Below are 24,737 nucleotides of genomic sequence, written 5' to 3' on the forward strand. Positions count from 1 at the left end.
GGCACTCATCTTAAGATTGCATACACAGTTCATGTCCTGCCTCACCCCTTGAAAGAGTGGAGATAGGTGGTCCCCGGCTGTGCTGGTGAAGTCAATGCTTTGTGATTAAACATTTCAAGAAGAGTAACAAAAATAACAATTTTCTTTGTTTTTTATCTTCTTTAATTCTCCCAGTAGTCAAATGAAATCCAGAGAGCTCAGAAAATTAGAATCATTTTCATACTTCATTTGGTGGCAAAACCAGACCTGAGCTAACATGAAGTTATTTATTATCTTATTCTCACTTTGACAATTCATTTAACTATTACTGCTTATTATGGGATATGGTTTCAGATCTTGCTTATTAGGATATATATGGTATATACAACTTAACACCATTCTCTAAATTATCAAAAAACTTTGAATTTCAAAACATGTCTGACCTCTGTTCTAGATAAGGGATTGTGGACCTGTATCCTCATTTATAAGCAAGGGAACCAACGCTTCTGGTAGTGACATAAATCACCTAAGGAAAAGCAGCTAATATGGAGCAGGGGTAGGATTCTGTCCTAGACACTCAGAGACCTGAGTTACTGTATCACCAAGTCATGACATTATCTAACACGCCCTTTGTTTTCCCCATTGCACTGGATAGATTCTTGATAGGCAATAGAGTGAACCAGAGTGGGTAAAGAACATGAAGTAAAAAATGACATTTTGCTTTAAAATAACAGTTTACTGACTTCAAAGGTTATTATTTGACTTTCTCTAATTGAAAGAGTGATCATTTTAGGCTGGGCATGGTGGCTCACACCTGTAATCCCAGCACTTTGGGAGGTCAAGGTGGGCAGATCACTTGAGGTCAGGAGTTCAACCAATCTGGCCAACATGGTGAAACCCCGTCTCTACTAAAAATACAAAAAAATTAGCCAGGCGTGATGGCATGCGCCTGTAGTCCCAGCTGCTTGGGAGGCTGAGATGGGAGAATCTCTTGAACCTGGGAGGCGGAGGTTGCAGTAAGCCAGAGATCATGCCACCACACTCCAGCCTGGGCAACAGTGAGACTCCATCTCAAAAAAAAAAAGTGATCATTTTAGTATAGCTTTGGAATGTTGGAGACTAACCCTTTTATCTGGAAAACTTCTCCAAATAGTTTCCTTAGGAAAGGACACAGGGTAAATGAAGATTTAGCTTGGTACTGGTAAAAAGTTACCAGAATATAGTGCATAATTTTATAAAGTAGTGCATATCTCACAGTTATTGCAAAAATCCTGTTTTATATGGTGATTGGAAAATATATGCTTTTTTTTCATAGTTTCTAAATAATTTTGATAATTTTGACTTTCTAGTCTTCCAGGTCTCTTGCAGCTCTTATGTCTGCGACCAAAAGATTCAGATCTCATATTGTTTAAGCCAGTCTGGACAAAAAATTCATGGTCTTTAACTTGTCAGAGGGAGCTTAACAATACATATTTTATATAAGTAAATACTTTCATATTCTTTTTTGCCCAGACATGTTTAAAGAGCATAATGAAGCCAGGTGCCATGACTCATGCCTGTAATCCCAGTAACTCAGGAGGCTGAGCCAGGGGGATTACTTGAGGCCAGGAGTTCAAGACCAGTCTGGGCAACATAGTGAGACCCCCATCTCTCAGAAAAAAGTATAATGAGATGTGGAATCTTCTGGATGCAGACTTCAGATCTGAAAGAGACCTTTCAGGACAACCCCCTTCAGTCCACCTTGCCCCATCCCTCCTCCTTCAAAAAAGAGAAACCAGGAGGTCTATAGAAGTTAATAGTTTCATAGAGGAGTCTTTTCGTAAGATCCTGATTACTTGGCTTTTACAGCTTCAGTTGTCCAAATAAGAAACAAGAGGTGGTCAATGTGATACTTTGTTCTGTAGGTGGTATATATTAAGATCAAAATTTAACCTTGGTGTGGTGTTCAGAGTCTTTCAAGTTTCACTTGTATTAAAACACATTTTATGTATTTACAGGAAATATGTATTGCAAAACACAATGAAAAAATCCAACAGCGCACTCGGATTGAAGATGAATATAGAACCCATCACACAGTACAACTAGTAAGTTTGGATTCGAAGATTTTGAACAAAACTTAATTTTTTTGCATGTTTTAGAGTGGATAAAATCTGTAGAGAATGATAAAAAAACTTATAACTGCATGTTAACATTAGTTCAGTTTATATAATGAGCAGTTTTTAGGCAAAATTGATTGGAGAATACAGAGTTCCTATACCCTCAACCCGCACACGTAGCCTCCCCTACCGTCAACATCTCCTATACTCCTGTCCCCACACTTGATAGCCTTTCCACTGTCAACATCCCCCAGAGTGGAATATTTGTTAAAATCAGTGAAACATTGAACATCACCATTCCCCAAAATCTGTTGCTTATGTTAGGGTTCTTTCTTGGTGTTTTGTGTTCTGTTGGTTTTGACAGTGTATAATGACATGAATCTGCTATTATAGTATCATATGGAATAATTTCACTGCTCCAAAAATCCCTTTGTTCCGCTACTCATCCCTCTCTCTCCCCAAGCCCCTAGCAAACACTGATCTTTTTATAGTCTTCATAGTTTTGCCTTTACCAATGTATAGTTGGAATGATACAGTATGTAACCTATTCAGTTGGCCTCTTTAACATAGTAACGTGCATTTAAGGTTGCTCCATGTCTTCATGGCTTGATAGCTCATTTTAACACCAAATAATGTTCCATTGTGTGGATGTCTCAGTTTGTTTATCCATGTGCCTATTGAAGGACATCTTGGTTGCTTCTAAGCTTTGGCAGCAATTAGTAAAGCTGCTATAAACACCCATGGAGGGCTTTTTGTGCACATAAATTTCAGCCAATTTGGGTAAATAACAAGGAGCATGAATGCTGGAGAGTATGGTAAGAGTGTATTTAGTTTTGTGAGAAACTGCAAAACTGTCTTCCATAGTGGCTGTTCCATTTTGAACTCCCACCAGCAATGAGTGAGAGTTCAGGTTTTTCCACATCCTCTATAGCATTTTGCTGTTGTTACGTTTTTGAATTTTAGCCATTCTGACAGGTGTATAGTGGTATCTTTTGGTGTGTGTGGGTGCGTGTGTGTGTTTAAGAGATGGAGTCTTGATAGGTTGCCCAGGTTAGCCGCAAACTCCTGGGCTCAAGCAGTCCTCCTGCTTTAACCTCCTGGGACTACAGGTATGGACTCCTGTGCCTGGCTTTTACTGTTGTTTTAATTTGCAAATCTTTAATGCAGATATATAGATAAATAGATACATATACAGAGAGCGAAAGAGCGCATCTGTCCAAATGCCTACTTGCCCCTCTATATATCTCTAGTAAGGTGTCTGTTCAGATCTTTTGCTCTTTTGTTTTTTGGAGTCTTATTCTGTCACCAAGGCTGGAGTGCAGTGGCGCGATCTCGGCTCACTGCAACGTCCATCTCCTGGGTTCAAGCAATTCTCCTGTCTCAGCCTCCTGAGTAGCTGGGACTACAGACATGCATCACCACGCCCAGCTAATTTTTGTTTTTAGTAGAGATGGGGTTTCACCATGTTGGCCAGGCTGGTCTTGAACTCCTGACCTCAAGTGATCTGCCCTCCTTGGCCTCCAAATGTGCTGGGATTACAGGCATGAGCCACCGTGCCTAGCCTTTTTGCTCATTTTTTAAATTGGATTTTTATTTTCTTATTGTTGAGTTTTAGGAGTTCTTCATATATTTTGGCTTACACTCCTTTATCAGATATGTCCCTTTGTTTTGCAAATATTTTCTCATGATCTGTGGCTTGTTTTCTCATTCTTTTGACAGTGTCTGTTGCAGAACAGAAGTGTTTTAACAAAGTCCAATTTACCAGCACTTTCTATCATGGTTCATTCCTTTGGTGTTGCATCTAAAAAGTCATTGCCAGTCCCCAAATCAGCTAGATTTGCTCCTATGTTATCTTTTAGGAGTTTTATAGTTTTGTGTTTTATATTTAAGTCTGTGATCCATTTTGAGGTAATTTTTGTGAAGGGTATAAGGTTTGTGTCTAGTTTAGGCTTGTGGACTTCCTGTTGTTCCAGCACCATTTGTTTAAAAGACTGTCCTTTCTCCATTGAATTGTCTTGTTCCTTTGTCAAAGATCAGATGATTCTGTCTCTTCAGTCTATTTTTGGGTGTCCTATTTTGTTTTGTTCATCTAGGTCTTTTGCCTCTCCATATAAGCTTTAGAATCAGCTTGTCAGTAGCCACAAAAAAATTGCTGGGATTTTGATTGGGACAGTGTTGAATTTATAAGTCAAGTAGGGATGACCTAATATCTTTTTTGTTTTTTTCATTTTAAAATACTTCTTCTTTTAGTTTTTTTGCTTTTTAATTATTATGTTTATTTTAGCCTCTACCGCCTTCTCCTACACCTAACATCTTAACATTGAATATTCCTATCCATGAACAAAGAATATTTTTCATCTATTTAATTCTTTGATTCTTTCATCAGAGTTTTATAATTTTCCTCATAAAGATCTTGTACACCTTTTGTAAGATTTATACCTAAGATACCTAAGTCTTTCTTCCTCTTCTTTGTCAGGGAGGTGGTAATATAAATAGTATTATGTTTTTAATTGAAAACTCCAGTTGTTCATTGCTGGTGTATTACAAAACAATTGACTTTTGTTAATTAAGCTTTTTCTTAATAATCTATAATCTAGATTTTTTTTGTCAGTTTTCTTTCAGATTTTCTACATCTGTCTTCAGACAGTTTTATTTCTGTATAGCTTTTATTTCTCTTTCTTATTGCATTAGCTAGCACTTCAGTATAATGGTGAAAGGAGTGGTAAGGGGGACATCTTTGTCTTGTTCCTGATCTTAGCAAGAAAGCTCTAGTTTCTCACCAGTAAGTGTGATGTTACCTGTAGGTTTTGGGATAGATGTTCTTTATCAAGTAGAGGAAGTTCCCCCTCTATTCCTAGTTTGCTAAGAATATTAGGAAGTTCCCCCTCTATTCCTAGGTTGCTGAGAATATTAGTTCACTTTATATAAAGTTACATTAGAAACCTTCTCCTACTCCCATATTGCTGTGCCGCATCCCACACAATATATATTATCCTGACAGTCATCTTTACAGATGTGTCTTAAATTAGTTAACACCAGTAATTTGTACTTAAATATCAGAAATGCCAACATGACCATATCTCTGTATTTGGATATTTCTAAAATTTTCTGTCTTTAGCATCATACTAAAGGCCAAAGGGCTTAAATTTGTCTCCATTACTCCTTAAGGCACATTCTTAGCTAATGCTGCCCCTTACTCTTCATTTTAACCACATAAAATTAGCCAAACTACCCATAAACTATAAGATTACCTTTCTCCTAGAATCTAGAAATAGATTAATTAATGTACTTTTATTTTTCATTACTGTTTCTGTGGGTCAGAAACTGCTTTATAAGATTAGTCAGGGGACCAGCATGACAGTGAGGTAAGTTGCTCCCTGCTATAACCATTTGTACTTGCATTATCAGTTTACTTATGAAGGTTCCACACTTCCAATATATTTCTTTTTATAAAACATAAGATTTTGGTGGAGGGGAAGAACTAATTAACTTTTTAGAATGAATGAGTATCAGATCTTTTTCCCAGATCTATTTTTTGGGGGCAACAGGAGTAAAAATTAGTAAATCGATTATCTTTCTTTTCCTTTTTTTTTTTTTTTTTTTTTTTTTTGAGATGGAGTCTTACTCTACCCAGGCTGAAGTGCAGTGGTGCCATCTCTGCTCACTGCAACCTCTACCTCCTGGCTTTGAGCCATTCTCCTGCCTCAGCCTCCCATGTAGCTGGGATTACAGGCACATGCCACCACACCTGGCTAATTTTTGTATTTTTAGTAGATGGGGTTTCACCATGTTGGCCAGGGTGGTCTCAAACTGCTGCCCTTGAGTTATCTGCCCGCCTCGCCTTCCCAAAGTGCTGGGATTACAGGTGTGAGCCACCACTCCTGGCCAAGAAATTGATTCTTAAGGTAATCCCAAAGATAAATGTCATCTGCCTTAGAATTTTGCCTAATATCTTGGTTGGAATATATAATTGTCAGAGAATGAATCCATTAAATAACTAGTCATCTTTAACACATACAGATAAAGCATAATGAAAGTTAGCTTAGATCAAAATAGATCATTGTTTTTCAATGCTAGTTTTAAACCACCAGTGTCAGAACCTCTTATGTGGTGGATTGTTTAAAATACAGATTCTTAGATGTTAACCTTATTATTGCAACAGTTTCCCCTGGACATCCTTGTGAATTAAATATGCAAGACTAAGGAAGTTTATTTTAATATTTGATAGTAAACTCTCTAAAACAAAATATGAGGATTACTTATTAATACTACTATTTTAAATTGTTATTAGCTCAAATTGGATAAGAGAATTCTGTTTTCCCCATTAAAGAATGAACTCTTATTTTTTGTAAGTACACTCAAAACTCCAGGCTTTCACTTCAAGAAAACATACATGGTGGCTCCTGTCTGTAATCCTAGCCTTTGGGAGGCCGAAGCAGGAGGATCACTTGGGCCCAGGAGTTCGAGACCAGGCTGACCCTGTCTCTATAAAAAATTTTTAAAATAGCTGGGCATGGTGGCGTATGCTTGTCTTGGGCACATGCTAACTTATTTCAGGCTCTAAGAGCCCTTTTGAATTGTGTTCATGTGTGGTGTATCTTTGTGTCCTTTTGTGTAAATTAGTAGTATATTACTAGATTGCATTTTATTCAGAAAATTAGCCTACCACACCTTCTTTTTTTTTTTTTTTTTGGTAGAGATAGGGTCTCACTGTGTTGCTCAGGCTGGTCTTCAACTCCTGGCCTCAAGCAATCCTCCTGCCTCAGCCTCCCAAAGTGCAGGGATTATAGGCATGAGCCACCACACTTGGCTTTATTTTCCAGTTTCCTGTTGTCTCCCTGCCACCCTTACGTCCCTGCTCATACTTTCTTGTTAGAGTTTATGATACAATCACCCAATGCAAATGCAACAGTAATTCTCATTAGAAATTATATTGTTTAGGGAAAGCTGGTGGGGAAGAGGAGAGAAATGATAGAAGAATAGAATGGGGGGTTGGATCTGAAAAGGACAGGAGAACAATGGAAGAGAGGGTAGTTAATTTCCATTTGAAATTATCTGGTCTGGTCTTCTGGGAGGTATCTCTAATTTTTTAAAACAAAGCAAGAAAATAGACAACCCATTTACCTATATAGAAAGCCTTTTCATTTATTTAACTAAAATTAATTTTACCAAATGAGATTTTATTATATAGCTTTTAGATGATTCAACTCTATAGGGAAAATTAAAAGTTTGTTTAGATAACTGCCAAAAATAAGCTGTGATACTAAACCAGATGATTCATGGATAATGCTTGAAAAATATTTTTCTAACTGCTGGTTATATTGGTTGTTGATTTGATTGCTTTTGTTCGTTTGTTTTTTTGAGACAGAGTCCCACTCTGTTGCCCAGGCTGGAGTACAGTGGCACTATCTCGGCTCACTGCAACCTCTGCCTCCCAGGTTCAAGCGATTCTCCTGCCTCAGCCTCCCAAGTAGCTGGGATTACAGGCATGCATCACCACGACCGGCTAATTTTTGTATTTTGGGTAGAGATAGGGTTTCACCATGTTGGCCTGGCTGGTCTCGAACCCCTGACCTGAGGTGATCCACCCGCCTCAGCCTCCCAAAGTGCTAGGATTATAGGTGTGAGCCACCGTGTCTGGCTGGTTGCTGATTTTATTTTTTAAAGTCATCTACATTTAAGTTAGCATAATATAGCAGCTAGAAGTATTTTACACTAAAACTGTGTATTAAAAATATTTCATGTTTCATGCTTTCATATTTCATGTTTCATGAAGTATTAAAAATATTTCATGTTTCATGAACAAAAAAAAATTTTGTTCAGTGAATCATCCCCTTTGGCCCACATTAGGATAACTTCTCATCTTTTTTCCTATTAATGATAAAAATTGGGACACAGCATAATGGAATTATTATTAATTTTTTACCAGAAGAGAGAAAAATTACATGATGAAGAAGAAAGAAAAAGTGCCTGGGTTAGCCAAGAGAGACAGAGAACACTGGATAGACTTCGAACATTTAAACAGGTATTAAAAGTAATGGTCCATTTATTGTTTTTCTTTTTTTTTTTTTTTTAACAGAGCTACATATACACCTGTAGGATTTCTTTGTGGGAAAAACTTGGTTTTCCCTTATTTATAAACTATTATAACCATGGAAGTCCTTTTTAAAATTGTTTTAATGGCATGGCTCCATTTCCTCTGGTGGTTTTCCGAATTTAGTATTCTTGTGACCTTTGACCCACAGCTTCAGTAGTATAAGAGGAATGATAAGGGCCTCTGGGAAACCTAGATTCCTCTTGAGTTTAAAAAATTAGTTAAATCACAACTGACTATCCAGCTCAAGCATCAGCATGTTATTTATTCCACATACATCAGCCTGTGGTGGTAATACATCAAATGACCATTGGCAGAATTAGAGGTGGAGGGGAGCAGCATATTTGAGAAATGCTTCAGCAGTTCTCTTGCCAGGGTAAGCCATGACCACACACTGATACCACAGTATCCACACATCTCCTCAGAACTGTGCTGAAGCCTCACAGTTCTCATTTTTAAAGTACTCTGGAGCCTTACTTCAGTTATGCATGCTGAAGGATCACTTTGTAGGTGAAGTAGGCTTTTGAACAAGTGTTACAGTGGAAAAAAAGGAGGTGAGGCAGGGGAAAAGCCTTGTTATTAAGTAAATGTGGCTCACGCCTGTAATCCCAGCACTTTATGAGGCTGAGGCAGGTGGATTGCTTGAGCCGGGGAGTTCAAGACCAGCCTGGGTAACATGGCGAAACCCTGTCTCTATACAAATTAGCCTGGCATGGTGGAACATGCCTGTGGTTCCGGCCATTTGGGTGGCTGAAGTGGGAGGATTACCTGAGCCAGGGAGGTCATGGCTGCAGTGAGCTGTGATCATACCACTGCACTCCAGTCTGGGCAACAGAGTGAGACCCTGTCTCAAAAACAAACAAACAAACAAAAGGTCTTACCATGGTAAAATATATATAAGAGTTCTACCAGTAAGTACTGAAAAAAATGTATTTCTCTCTTCATTCTGTCATAAAATGGATATATAGTTGATGGAGCTTTTTAAAAATGCCAAGTAACCTGTTAAAGAATATTTTAATTTTCTCGTGTGTGCATTTGAAAACATAGGAAACTTTTTGCATACCAGTAGCATTTATACATTTGACATCACTTATGTTTTGCATTTTACATGCTATTTGTTTTATACATTTAGTAGTTTTATTCACTAAAAATCTTTTTTTAATCATAATTTTGAATATTTGAATTATCAATCGTGGATTTGATAGGCAAATAATAAATTCATAATTGTTTGTAAGCTATTATTAGGTACTTTCGGATTTTCTGTATAACTTTAAGGGTGAAATAACCAATAAGCCAACATAACATTTTTGAGATGGAATCTCACTCTGTCACTCAGGCTGGAGTGCGGTGGCACAATCTCGGCTCACTGCAACTTCCGCCTCCCGGGTTCAAGCAATTCTCCTGCCTCAGCCTCCTGAGTAGCTGGGACTACAGGTGCCTGCCACCACACCCAGCTAATTTTTGTATTTTTAGTAGTGACGGGGTTTCACCATGTCGGCCAGGCTGGTCTCAAACTCCTGATCTCAGGTGATCCACCCGCCTCGGCCTCCCAAAGTGCTGGGATTACAGGCGTGAGCCACCACACCCGGCCACATAACATCTTTTATTTGAAGGAGAAAATAAATAGGCATGTGCTCATAAATTGTTTCAATAACATTTAACCAGTTCCAATAACTTCTGGTATTTTAGAGGTATCCTGGGCAAGTCATACTTAAATCAACCAGATTACGACTAGCTCATGCAAGAAGAAAAGGTGCAGCAAGTCCTGTTCTCCAAGAGGATCATTGTGACTCTTTACCAAGTGTGTTACAGGTAGAAGAGAAAACTGAAGAGGTGGGAGAAGGAAGAGTCAAGCGTGGGCCATCACAGACAACAGAACCCCAGAGCCTTGTGCAACTTGAAGATACTTCATTAACACAACTTGAAGCCACCTCATTACCTCTCAGTGGTGTTACCTCTGAACTGCCTCCCACTATATCTCTTCCACTTTTGAATAACAACCTCGAACCATGTTCTGTTACCATAAATCCACTCCCATCCCCTCTTCCTCCAACACCACCACCTCCCCCACCTCCTCCCCCTCCCCCACCACCACCACCTCTGCCTGTTGCTAAGGACAGTGGCCCAGAGACACTGGAGAAAGATCTGCCTAGAAAGGAGGGGAATGAGAAGAGGATCCCAAAGTCAGCCAGTGCCCCCTCAGCACACCTCTTTGACAGCAGCCAGCTGGTCAGTGCACGGAAGAAGCTCAGAAAGACTGCTGAAGGTTTGCAGAGGAGGAGAGGTACGTCAACATATTTTCATGGTCCATCTGTTGTATGACATCAGGCATAGTAAAAAACTATATTTTTTGACGTTGCAAAGCTTAAAACACTTTATTTTTGACATTATTTGATAGTAAACAGGTTTTCAAAGTCACACTAGAGGAGAATTCTTAGTGCATAAAGTACACAGAAATGTATGCCTTCTTGGGCTGTTAGGCATGTTTTAAAAACAGATCTTCTAAAGTGATACATTCATGTTTGGTAATGTATAATGGGTGGCTCCTTTTGTGTTAGGGAAAAAGTTTTGATTTTAAACCTGAGATTTTTAAAAAAATACTCATATCAGAAAGGGTAAGATATCTGGTAAGGACTGTCACCACAGGGAAGACATTGGCAGGATCATGTAACATTTGTTCATACATTTGTTGAGGACTTTTGTGTATTTGTATAAAGAAGCAAAGAAGAACAGGGAGTAATCTGTTCAACTTACAATGTGACAGATGTGCCTCAATAAGGTTACTATTTTTTTTTCTAATTTTTTTTGTTAAGAGAGATTCAAGCACAAATAAAATTATTTCTAAAAAGAGCAGAGAATAACCCTTGCCTTTTGCCTTTAAGGAATTTGCATTTTGCATGGGGAGAACATTATATAAATGTTACATATTACTTGTATATTACATTTTAACCTGAAGGACCATTCTATAAAACATTTCTTGATGTAATCTGAGTAGGATTTCACATGTAAAACAACTAAATGAAAAAAGCACAGTCTCCATAATAAACAAAAATTAATTTTTAAAAACAAAATGTGTAACCCCATCACTCTGAATTTGGGTGGAGCAACTGCAATATGGAAATCCTTTGGGAATCACACCCATAATACTACTAAGACCACCTCCCAGTTCCCAATCTGGTCACTTCTCTCATGTAGGAAATGATAGGAATACCAACAGTACCCACCATGGATTGGGTCTTGGGATTTTCTAAAAAGAAGGATAATTAGGATCCCTTGTGTTCTGATCACCTTCTGCACACATTTCATGATCCATTTTGAAGATGGTGTTTCAGCGTCCTGTGCTTTCACAGTTGCGAACGGTAGAGGTTATACAGTTTCATTCTAATTAAGTGCAGTCCTAACTGTAATACTGTTCTGTTTCATTTTCCAAAGTGAGCTCACCCATGGATGAGGTGCTAGCCTCCTTGAAGCGTGGTAGTTTTCATCTGAAAAAGGTTGAACAGCGAACTCTGCCTCCTTTTCCTGATGAAGATGATAGTAATAATATCTTGGCACAAATAAGGAAAGGGGTAAAATTGAAGAAGGTACAGAAGGATGTTTTGAGAGAATCCTTCACACTTCTACCCGATACAGACCCTCTAACACGGAGCATCCATGAAGCTCTTAGAAGAATTAAAGAAGCATCCCCAGAGTCAGAGGACGAAGAGGAGGCTTTACCTTGCACAGACTGGGAGAACTAACAAGTAAACGGCCTTATTGTCTTTAGTAGCATTCAGTAATACAGGTTTTATATCGGATGATGAGGTTTGGGGTATTTTTTATTGAGCCTGAGGCATATCGTTTGTTTTATAACCCAATTTTAGCATGGATCACAAATTTATGAACTTCAGGTTTTACTTAATTCTGTAGTTTCTAGAAACTTAAGATAACTTTTTAATGATTATTGCTATGTAAATACTATTTTTAAAAATGTCCTCCTCATTAAAAATTTCTGCTATACAGCTGTAATTGCAAGTAAAGTGACAGTCTCATTCTTGCCCTAAAAAAACAGAAAAGGGCCTGGCACAGTGGCTCACACCTGTAGTTCTAGCACTTTGGGAGGCTGAAGCAGGCAGATCACTTGAGGTCAGGAGTTCAAGACTAGCCTGGCCAACATGGTGAAACCTCTTCTCTACTAAAAATATAAAAATTAGCCGGGCGTGGTGGCGGGCATCTGTAATCCCAGCTACTCGAGAGGCTGAGGCAAGAGAATCACTTGAACCCAGGAGGCGGAGGTTGCAGTGAGCTGAGATCGTGCCACTGCCCTGGGCAACAGAGTGAGACTCAGTCTTAAAAAAAAAAAAAAAAAAAAAAAAGGCTTTCCAGGTTCAGTGGTTCGCTTCTGTAGTCCCAGTTACTCAGAGGTTGAGGCATGAGGATCTCTTGAGCCCAGGCGTTCAAATCCGGCCTGGGCAATATAGCAATACCCCGTCTGTAAAAAGAAATCAATACGTCAATTTTTTTTTTAATGCAAAGCCTTTTCTGACAAAGTATTTCAGTAACAAACTGTTATGCACACTGAATTTTGATGTCATGTTAGCTGACCTCAAAGGAGTTTTCTAAGATCATTCTGGAAAAATTGTTGCATTGTCTGATTATTTAACTTTCTAAACCCTTAAAAAAAACTACTTATTGTCACAGTTACTGTATTATCTAGACAAATTTGCAGGTATCATTAATATATAAAAATTATCTACATATCTAATGAATACTCCTATACATATTAAGATTCTCTTTGGTTACACATGTAGCATTCTCCTAATATAATAGAGAGCTATAGTCTACTACATTTTAATATACTAATTATAGAGTAATATGGCACAGATTACACCAAATATATAGAAACATTAAAGATAACATGGTATAAATTAAACAGTATATCAAATTTATAATGATGGTAACTGAAATGTTGTAATTTGTATAAAATTTATAGAGTATACAAACATGTTCTATTAATTATTATTCTTTCTTGATGGAATATGTTTCTCTAGGCTTCAAACATTCACCAAAGTAGGGAAGACTTGAGTCCTAGAAGGGAATAAGTAAAGGAATAATTAATTCATGTGTTAGCCCTGTGAATTATTTTTGTTGAATTTCTTTTTTTATTTTAGAGACAGAGTCTCCCTCTGTTGCTCAGGCTGGAGTGCAGTGGCACGTTCATGGCTCACTGCAGCCTCAACCTTCTGGGATCAAGCATCCCAAGTAGCTGGGACTCCAGACACATGCCACCATGCCGGGCTAATTTTTTAATTTCTTTGTAGAGACAGGGTCTCCTTATGGTTGCCCCGATTAGCATAATAATTCTTAAAACATGTTTGATCATAAGAATTAACTTGGGGAGCTTATTAAAAATGGACATTCTGTCCTTGACTTAAGAATTCTGAGTAGAACAACAAAGAAAAAAAATCTTTTTTTGACAGGGTTTCACTCTCTCACCCAGGGTGGAGTGCAGTGACATGATCTCGGCTCGCTGCAAGCTCCACCTCGTGGGTTCAAGTGAATCTCGTGCCTCAGCCTCCTGAGTAGCTGGGATTACAGGCGACTGCCATGATGCCCGGCTCTTTTTTCTTTTTTTTTTTTGTATTTTTAGTAGAGATAGGGTTTCACCATCTTGGCCAGGCTGGTCTCGAACTCCTGACCTCAAATGATCTACCCACCTCAGCCTCCCAAAGTGCTGGGATTACAGGTGTGAGCCACCATGCCTGGCCCAAAAAAAAGAATTCTGAGTAGATCTAATGTATATGCAAGTACACATCTAGATTTTGAAGACATAATATAAAAATGTAATGTATGTCAGTTTTTAAACAACTGATTACATATTGAAAGATTCTATTAGTTACATTAGGTAAAATATTACTGAAAGCAGTTTCACCTGTTCCTTTGGGTATGGGTTCATTAGGTAAATATTCCTGTAGTACCTCTCCACCAGCATCTGCATCAATCAATAACTTAAAAAGGGTAATATTACATTCACCATGATTCAGCCAACATTCAGTAGTAGCATTATCCTGCTTTTTTTCCTATTATGTATACAGTTACATGTAACAGTCACTTTGTATGACTTATGTTTTTGGATCCCAAAGTAACTTCGAGTTATTTTTGCTTGTACATATGTCCACTATGCTTTGTAAAGGAATATATATATATATATATATAGAGAGAGAGAGAGAGAGAGAGAGAGAGAGAGAGAGAGAGAGGGATGCATATCAGTTTGTGAATGTCTAGACTCTCAGGTATGTCTAACTGGGAATCTTTTCCATAGTGGATATTTGTAGGTTGTCTCCCACTTTACAGTTCTTACTACCATGTGTTGTTTCCTTCTGCTGTAGCTTCTCAGGAAGCTGCTTAAGCTTGTGCCTAAAACTACCATCTTTGCACTGACTAATTCCACAGCTGGACCTTCACATAAATGTGTGTTTAGCTCTTTCATTACAGATGGTCCACAGTGGCCCATTCACAGCACACCAGCAGCTGCTCAAGTCAGCCTATCCTTGTCTGTCTCCTCCCATCCCACCATATCCTGCCTAACCCTAGACATTGCATCAGCATTTTGTATACTCAAGTGGCTGGGATGTTACTCATAGCTTCTGGCTACTAATTTAGCCTTAGTATCAGATGTTAACATGGTGCATGGTGTATACACTTTGAAAATTGCTTAAAACTTTTTTCGGGGGTGTGGGAGACGGCTGATGGCTGGAATATGTGGTACAATGTTGAGAGAGAAACAGTGAAACACTTAGAAAATATATGAGCTTGGAAGTTTGCAGTCTCCCTTTACTAAATGTGTGCTAACCCAGAAGCAAACCATAGACTAGTATGGACTGATTAGGCAGTGATGAAGTAGCTGTGTATCACTACTTTGTGATCATGGAGACTAAAAGGCTGTGAACTTTTTATCTACAAATGGCTAAGAAGGCTTTACCGCAATTTGTATTTCCCATTAATTTATTAGATTCCTTTTTTTTTTCTCTCTCTCTTTTTTTCTTTTCTTCAAGACTGAGTTTCACTCTTGTTGCCCAAGCTGGAGTGCAGTGGTGTGATCTTGACTCACTGCAACCTGTGCCTCGTGATTCAAGAGATTCTCCTGCCTCAGCCTCCGGAGTAGCTGGGATTATAGGCGTGTGTTACCACTCCCAGCTAATTTTTGTATTTTTGTAGAGATGGGGTTTCACCATGTTGGCCAGGCTGGTCTCAAACTCCTGATCTCAGGTGATCCACCTGCTTCTGCCTCCCTAAGTGCTGGGATTACAGGTGTGAGCCACTGTGCCTGGCCAGATTTCTTGATTATAGATTTTGTCATTAATGTACTTATATACTTTTAAGAGCTAATTTCTTGAATATTCATAAAGTAGGTAATGAAGGTCCCTTGTTCTGCCTTGTTCGTTCCCCTCTGAAACTCTTCTCTTTCCAGAGATAGCCATAGTCATGCTCAAGGAAATTTCTTAAAATGTATGTAATTACATAGAGGTTTAAAATAAGTTTCAGGCTGAGTGTGAACTTTAAGTTTCAGGCCTGTAATTCTGCAGTACTTCAGGAGGCTGGGGGTGGGTGGATCACTTGAGCCCAGGAATTCAAGACTAGCCTGGGCAACATGACGAAACACATCTCCACTAAAAATACAAAAAGTAGCTGGGCGTGGTGGCTCACACCTGTAGTCCCAGCTACTTGGGAGGCTGAGGCAGGAGGAAATCTGTCTCAATAAATAAATAAGCTTCTAGTTTGTTTCCTGTGAGAGTCTTTTTTTTTTTTTTGAGATGGAGTCTCACTGTGTCAGCCAGGCTGGAGTGCAGTGGCGCCGTATTTGGCTCGCTGCAATCTCCATCTCCCGGGTTCAATCTGGGATTACAGGCGCACCACCATGCCCAGCTAATTTTTTTGAAGTTTTAGTAGAGAGGGGTTTCACCATGTTGGCCAGACTGGTCTCGAACTCCTGACCTCAACTGATCCACCCTCCTCAGCCTCCCAAAGTGCTGGGATTACAGGCGTGAGCCACTGTGCTAGGCCCCTGTAGGAGTCTTCTAAAGTAACTATAGCAATGTAGTTCAAAGGAAATATAGTTTGAGACATGTAATTTTAAAATGTCCAATAGTCACATCAAAAATGAAAAGGAACATGTGAAACTGATGTTTGTAATATTTTATTTGACACAATGTAGCCAAAGTAGTATCCTTCAACACATAATCAACATTAAAAACTAAGGACATTGCTTTCTATTTCTTTTTTTCACACTAAGTCTTCAAAATTCAGTGTATGTTTTATATATACTAGTAGCACATCTCAGTTTGAATGCTAAGGATCTGATACTTAATGAGAAATGTCCTACCAAAACAGCAAAATTGTATTTAATGGAAAAATAGTACTTACTGTTTTAGATTTTTAAATCAAACTGGATTTAAATCAAACTAGATCAGTCACACTAGACACATATCAAGTGCTCATTAGCCACATGTAGCTACAGTATTAGAAAATGCAGAACTGTATTAAGTTGGTACTTTATTCATGTTCCTGTCAGCTTTTATCTGAAGAGTATGTCTTTTATATAAATGCTCCTGTGCTTTGGGTACGCCCCATAGATCTTAAGCACAACACTTTTCAATAAAATGCCCGGGTGAAGTATCCATTTAAAGATTGGTATTAATCCTGTCCTCTAAATGTTAGTCTAACAAAAACAGTTTCTACTGCATTTTGAAGACACCATTTAGTTGTTCTTACTCTAGTAGCAGTTTATGGGGCAAATAGTTTAGACTGAATTTACCTTTTTAGTATATAGTTTTCATACAGTGTTAGAGTAAAAATAATAAAAATGAAAATCTAATAGTCTTTTAAAAGTGATCAAAATCTGTATTTAGATTATTTTGTTTTCATTTTTACTGCTTTAAGAATACAGTCATGGCCTTTTGTAAAAAATGTCTTTTTTACACTTTTTGAGGGAACGTAAATACACTGTATCTTTAAAGGGTCTTTTTTTTAATGGTCTGTATTATTTTGTTTGTAAACAGGTGACATAACAGAAGAAAAATATCATTCAAGATTGGTTCTGATTCTTTTGGAAAATGACAGTTTAAGCACTTGGTTCCTCAGTTGGATAACATTAGATCCAAAGTTCATTGGTTCAGTGGTGTGAAGAAAGGAAGCACAATTGGCAGGTTATCACTTTCCAGTCGTTCCAATAGATGATGGTTAACATGAATTTTACATGTGCAATGTTCCTGACTGCAATGAAGAAAAGGCCTTCTGGAGATTTCTGTTTTTTAAGCACATTCTCCTTCCATCCACATATTTACATCCTTGTAATGGCCAGTTAAGCTAGGGCTTGCTGTAAGTTGGAAGAACACTGGGTTGACAGAGATCTACTGTGAGCTGTATTGGGACTGCTTTGAGAACCATCTTTCAATGCACTGAAAAGTCATCTGAAAAAATAGCTTCTTCCATATCAGCTTATATTAAATACTGTGACACTCTGAGAAAGTTTATCATCATGATAGCTGTAAGTCAGGCATTAAAATCAAATGGAAATACACCTAAAATGTCCGCATTACTCATTTCCAAAGGATTTTTCATAAAGATGTTCAGCAACATCTGAAAAGCTGCATTTATGGAGATACATCTATTAATATGTTCACAACATGATACATTTAACATGGCATATTTTTAGGAGTCTTATACTTTGTAAGGTTTTGAAGTTTCCGTGCTTTTAAATCACTCTTCATATTTCTTGAATTTATAATAGTTTGAATTTTATGTGCATCCTTGTTTATGGAAGGCAGTACTTTGATAATATTTCAAATTATTTTTATTTTGTTTGAATTATTGCTTGATTGCTATGACTGACATGACTTTCCTATTGAGAATCAAAAATCAAGATTCAATCATAGGGATGCAGATCTTAACTCTTTTCACAAATTACCATTTTAAGTTTTTATTTTTATGCTCCACAGTGAAAAGCATGTGCTCTACAAAGATAGAAAGTAGAGACAAGTCTCCGTGGCTGGCATTTCACCATCTTCACATGCACTGAATGGAATTTTGGGAGAATGCCTTTGTTATAGTCACTAAAATTTTAAACTTATACACAGCTTTAGGTGCTGATTTTGGCTGTGATGGAGTCCTGAAGGACACATTTATATGTTCCAGATTTTCAGCAGGATTGTTGTGGGCTTGAATACATGTAGATCATTGGACTCAGTGTGCAGTACCCTGTACATATAATTCTGCATAAGACAGATCTTGGCCTTTCTGTGGAGGGAGTTAAGAACTAAAATACCAAAAATCACTTTATTTCTTTTAAGACAATTATCTGGCCTAAACCCAGAAAGCAGTACTGGAGCAAAAGCCCAGTGTATATGAATTGGTATTCCTAGAGAAAAAAAGAAATGCTCACACCTTTGTTATTTTAAAGTGTTTTCTTGAAAATAATTAGGGAGAAAATTTTCTGGCAACAGGTTATGTAAGACAACAACTTTTTTTATTATTTCAAAACAAAACAGGCACATGCCACCATGCCCCAGCTAATTTTTATATTTTTTATAGAGACAGGGTTTTGCCATGTTGCCCACGCTGGTCTTGAACTCCTGGACTCAAGCAATCTGCCAGCCTCGGCCTGCTAAAGTGCTAGGATTATAGGCGTGAGCCTCTGTGCCCAGCCTGACAAAATCTTTTATTTATTTAAATGTTAGTAATACGTTTATTGATGAGACTAGGAGCTTCTCTGCAGCATCTTCATAATACATTGGTTTTAGTTCCCACACTATTCCCACATCTTATCTGGGAAGATTAGAAATACAGATGTAATATGGAAGCTTCAACAGCATGGGGGTGGTGATAGTGTCCTATTTGCCCTTGGTAAAATATTAAAGCGTATTTCTTAACCCAAAGAGTGATTGGTTATATGAATATATTTGAAAAAGTTAAAGCAAATTTGCAAACCTTTACAAAATCATGTATCAATTTTATGCTATCCAGTTTTTACGTACCCATGTGTCAACATTTCATATATCCAGTTCTTTGGGTGCTGGTTCACTTTTTTTCATTTATTCAAATTCAGAAAAATACGGACGGATCTAATGTTAAATTAACCAGAAACCCTGGAACATTCATATCTTGAGAGGGAATTTGCTACTCTTTTACTTTTGGGATTTCATTATAAAATAGGCTCATTTTATACATATGTCCTGTGGTCTGTCTTCCAGAGTGTGCTGTAATCATAAGTCTCTAGCAAAGAGTGGAGGGTGGAGGGTGTGTAGAACTCCACTCAGCCTCATGGATACATCTACAAGTCTCTCAACCCATCCTGTTACAGTTCTCCATGAGAGTCACCTCACACTTGGAAAAGAAGGAGGTTAAAGCAGAGTATTGTTGGCAGCCAGCTATGCCCATCCTCTTGTAAATAACTTTCCAACACACCCATTTCCTTGCCTTAAGGTGCAGGTTCCTACTTCTACAAAATTTCAAATGATTGCAGGTCAAAAACCTTTGGAGTTACTCACAAATAATAATAAAATTTCAAATAACTAGGGTCTACTTGTCCATCAAGATGACATTACCAGTGGAACCCACCTGTTAATTTTAAAGTAGCTTCAGAACCCAACAAAAATTATGTAAGCCTGGTTAAATGTCCTTTTTTCTTCTTGCCTCTAATAAAATCAGGATCTTCGGCCTTGATACTAAATATGTGTATATTTAGTTATGATGGTACTTGTAGATGCTCACATTTCCAGTTCCAAACTCGCCCGTACTTTTTATGTGCTTCAAAATATTGGACACATTTCTGTTAATATATGATTTCTGTATCCACAAACCGCTGTTTGCTTATGCTGAGTCAATTTAGAAGTTAATTTCCAATCTAGTCTCAACTGCAATGCATTTAAAATAGGTAAAACAAGTAAATGAGTTTGGGACATTTTGAGATTAATGTTACTGCCCACTTGACTGTCAATTTCAAATGGCTCCTAATGCAACCAAAATTATAACCAATGTAGCATGTGTAGGAAAGGTATTTTTAATTATTTAAAATCATTGTGTATATTACAGCAGTATGAGGAATGCCTGGCTAAAGAGGATTTTTTAAAAGATGAAGAATGGTTTTGCTTGTATTATATAGGCTTACTGAGTTTGTGAGCAGCATAAAAACAATCATTCCTTAATTCTTCATTGTGGAACTGAAATATTTCTGTAATGCATTTTTTAAAAGGAGACTCCTAGACACAGCTGTAATAGTGGGAATAGAAATGTAGAGCTTTTCTCATAACACAAAACCAGAAAATAATTTTCAGCACTTTGACTTACTCTATGTAATAAGGAAAAAAATTGTTTCCACAAAGTTGAACTATGTAGTAATATTTGGTAACATATGGCATGGCCACTTTATATCACAGAATGTGTGTCAAGTTGCAAAGCATACTTGGGCCATAGTAGACACTAAGAATTAAAACTCTTAAATCAGTGAAACAAAAACTAATGGGCAGCATTCTCTCTGTTTGGAATGGGATCAGTATACAATTAATACAATTTAATTTTACACATTCCCTAAGACACCATTTTTAAGTTACAGTCACATGAGTGTTTGTATAAATTTAAGTCAATGCTTTTAGCCTAGGCAAAGCTAAATACAAGGTTTTTGGGGTTTTCTTTTTTCAGCTTTATTATTGAAGTATTACAAACTTAACATCAGATACCAATGTGTAAAAAGTACTATTGGGTCCTTAAGGGCTCTATCAGGGAGTTGAAATTTCATACGCTTTACCAGGTTACTTGTAAAAAATGAACAGCTGTAAGACATTTCAAAACCATTGCAGACACATTGTTAAAATGCAGCCATTTGATAATGAAAGCAGAAACCTTAAGTTTTACCTAATTATTGCACTAAATGTAAATGATAACATAAAATTAAGTGTGCATTTTAAACAGATTCTATTTCCCACTTACTGCTTAGCATAGAAAAAGAGCTATGGTTAGAGGAGTGACCAGCAAGATTTATTTCAGATGGAAAAGGGGTGAGAAAGTGGAAGCACCTTACTGTTAGAGCATGTTGCATCTATTTAGTGCTACTGAACAATTCAGTAGTTATTTCTGAACTTTGCTGCAAAGTGCTCTTTAGTTAAAGCACATTAAGAAGGGTCACTGCTTAATTGCTTTGTAAAATGAAGCAATGGTATTTTTTATCCGATATAGTGTAATTTAAAAGTTTTCCTACAAAGTGAGTTTATATTGTTGCCTAAACTATGTTATGTAAGCAAAGGGTTTGGAAAGGCGGGAGGGAGTCTAGATTCGGCGAGAGTGTGCGTTTGTGTGTGTGAATGTATGAAAAGTTTCCCCATTGGGTTATTCTTAAGATGTGTTTATTGTAAAGTTTTCTACGTTTTGCCCACAGTAAATGTACAACTTCGCAATTGTAGGATTTAATTGATTGAATTCCAAATTTATACTGTCTCTTCCCTTCTGCAGAGACATTATGCCACTGTAAGGTGCATGTACAGAAAATACCTCTGAGGTTGACTTGTTAAATAACTGATGAATGTTATTTCACACTGAATCTCAAAGCAGTCATTTGTTTTGCGGGTTAGGGGAAAGTTTTGTTTTTTGCTGGTGTTTTTTGTTGTTTTTAATTAGGCACACTAAGAGTGGCTAAATTTGGGGGAATTGGTGGATAGGAAAGACCTTGAAAAGTGATGTGTAGATGAAAACACAAGGTATGGATGTTGGTTACAGAGTTCAGTTTTAACAAGGGAAATTTGGGGATTTTTTTTTTTTTTACTTGCATGTTCTATGGGTAGCTATCAAAGGGTGTAACAAATTATTCCAGCTTTTCCCAATACTAATTATATTGGTTTTAAAAAGTCTGCATAATCACTAGGTGGCATTTTCCCTTCATTTGTGAACCAAGAGGGGTAAATGATGCTACCCATACAGTGACTTCTGAGTTCTTTAACTTTGACAGAATCTCCATTGTTTCATTGAATTTCTCATTGTATTATATGTCTTTCCAAGTGTGCAAACTATAATATGTAGTTAATGAAAAATGGAAGGCTGCAGATTATTTTGCATGAATAATTAATTGCCCATTAGGGCTAAGGAGACTGACATGATTTTTATCGGTTCTGGGTAAATGAAAATTTTAATGGAAAACTCATTCACCATTTACTAGCTTTGTGCAATATTATAAAAGGTAGAAGCAAAACACTAGCACATTGTGCTTTGCTTGGCTTGTAAGGATGGCTTTAGTACCATTACATTAAATGGACAGTGTGCACAGTGTATTGTAAATGCCAACTCTTGCAAATTTACAATACTTAAATATGTTCAATTAACATCCTAAAGTATTAAAAGTACAGAGGAAAAACTAAGCAAGCATTTATAGCAATACCATGAAATCTCCAGTAATCGTTTTGACTGTTGCCTTTTGCTCTTTAGTGCAGCTTTTCTGCATTGTAATTGTATTGCTTTGTATTTCATGTTTTTTACACTCATGACTTCAGAGTTAAGTACTTGTACACCAAGTATTGCAATCACCTTTCTCTTGTTGTACATGCAATGTAACAACCTACAGTTTTGGTGCTTTTAACAATATTCCTCTTTTTCTTTAATAAAGGATATTTATTTGAATTAATTAACCTGATTTTGTTTGTTTAAAATATCAGTGGTACATATTTTCACTTCATTTCAAATAGGAGGACCATAGCAAGTTGTATATCTGTTATGACAAAAGTTATAACATGGAGAACAGGATCCAGAGACCATCCATGCCTGTATTTCTGCCTCTTCCTGAGCGCTGTTTGTTGTGACATATTTTGATGGCAACTTTCTTTGTGCTATTAATGAACTTTCTCATTGTTTATAAATATTCACAAAGTTTGGAAGTGCTGACTTCCAAATTGGAAAATTTTTAAATGGGGGTGGGGAGAGGCAGAAAAATATTTATAAAGTTACACACTCAGATCAAATAGATCAAAATCTCAAAAATAGAACAGAAAAGAAAAGAAGAAAAGAAACATAGATCCCCACCAATGCCTCAGCAGTTGTTTGTCTCACTTCCAGTGATACCCTGAAAACTGTAGTATCTGAAATTTTCCCTTAGTCTCAGGAATTTCTACTTACACGCTTTCAGAGCTAGAACATTCCAGTGACCGCAGCCAGTTTGATCTCTTTCCACCCTCAGTAAATGTCTTGCCATATTCCTCTGGTGATCTGGAGCCCTTTATATTGAAATGTGCAATAATGATTTTACCAAGTCATTGCAAGCTTATGAGGAAAATATGGTTTTGAGGAAAAGCCTTAAACAATTAAATATACTGGCCAATTTCTGTCAGAACTGTTTAATACCAAGAACAATTGAAAGGTTATTCATCCCCAAGTGCATCAACAGATGTTTTGTGTAATGAAAGACTGGTGAGAGATTGGAAAACTCCACAAGAAACCTTATATTGTTTGTAAACATTTTTCAATGGAAGGGAAGTATAGCAGGAATTAATCATATGGTTATTCTTAAAACTTTGTATAGGCTGGGCGCGGTGGTTCACACCTGTAACCCCAGCACTCTGGGAGGCCAAGGCGAGCCGATCACTTGAGGTCAGCAGTTCGAGACCAGCCTGGCCAACATGGCGAAACCCCATCTCTACTAAAAAATGCAAGAATTAGCCGGGCATGGTGGCATGTGCCTGTAATCCCAGCTACTCAGGAGGCTGAGGCTGGAGAATTGCTTGAACCTGGGAGGCAGAGGTTGCAGTGAGCTGAGATCACACCACTGCACTCCAGCCTGGGCAACAGAGCGAGACTCTATCTCAAAAAATAAAAAAAAAATAAAAAGACACCCTACTGTGAATTGTTTTGCAGATATTGTACAGTGTGTAAGTGTATAAGCCAGACGAATAAATGCCATTAAGTAGATCACCTCTAAAGTCATGGGAGAGGAGTAAGGGGAGGGAGGGGAACTTACAGTCTAGCCATCCTAGGCATATTATTTTCTGATATGCCTAGGACATGTGACATTATATGTGTATTCAAAATTACATTATACAGATGCCATACAGTGGTTCTCTGAGATGAAGTAGTCCAGGTGGCAACAACATTCCATGTTATAGACCAAAATGATCTTTTTCATGCTTAAAGACCCAAACTTCTGGGATCTTACTTGAGTAAGTAAGTATTCAAGTTATTCTGGTGGCTCAAATATCCTTTTAGAGGAATTATTTGGTCTTCCCTATAGGGCACTTTGTGACCCACCTCTTTTCAGAAACAGGATGGCTTACCTGTGCAACAAGCTCGTGGGTCAGTCCCACAATTTCTGAAACACAGGATTAACTCTGGAACTTCCAAGAGTTGTCAGAAAATGCAACCAAACATTTATTGTGACCCAGCACTTGCTGAAAGGTTTTCTAATGCCAATTCCAACTTTGCCTACCGTTATCTAACTTTTGTCATTGCATCAAGTTGACTTATCAGAAGGCAGTACTTCAGCATCATCTCAACCCCAGTCATGCTTTCACTCCGTTACATAGAAGCGTGATGATTTGGCTTTCATGGATGGTTGAAAC

The 24,737-nt window shown here is 37.6% G+C and overlaps 1 protein-coding gene and 1 long non-coding RNA gene across 3 annotated transcripts in view; one reads left to right on the forward strand and one right to left on the reverse strand.

Annotated features, from left to right (window-relative positions):
* The window catches only part of JMY (junction mediating and regulatory protein, p53 cofactor), a 91,081-nt gene extending 68,268 nt beyond the window's left edge, over nucleotides 1-22,813 (forward strand). Inside the window, exons 7-11 of the mRNA NM_152405.5 lie at nucleotides 1,977-2,063; nucleotides 8,005-8,100; nucleotides 9,859-10,453; nucleotides 11,602-11,912; nucleotides 17,208-22,813. Coding sequence (NP_689618.4) covers nucleotides 1,977-2,063; nucleotides 8,005-8,100; nucleotides 9,859-10,453; nucleotides 11,602-11,909 — 1,086 coding nt within the window. The 3' untranslated portion in view covers nucleotides 11,910-11,912; nucleotides 17,208-22,813. The remainder of the gene's footprint in view (nucleotides 1-1,976; nucleotides 2,064-8,004; nucleotides 8,101-9,858; nucleotides 10,454-11,601; nucleotides 11,913-17,207) is intronic.
* LOC102724530 (uncharacterized) overlaps nucleotides 12,611-24,737 on the reverse strand; it is a 31,006-nt gene continuing 18,879 nt past the window's right edge. For both annotated transcript variants that reach the window (XR_001742756.1, XR_001742755.1), the window contains one exon: nucleotides 12,611-13,236. This is a non-coding gene — a long non-coding RNA (uncharacterized LOC102724530). The remainder of the gene's footprint in view (nucleotides 13,237-24,737) is intronic.

Source organism: Homo sapiens, chromosome 5, assembly GCF_000001405.40.
Source record: "Homo sapiens chromosome 5, GRCh38.p14 Primary Assembly".
NCBI classification, from domain to species: Eukaryota; Metazoa; Chordata; class Mammalia; order Primates; family Hominidae; genus Homo; species Homo sapiens.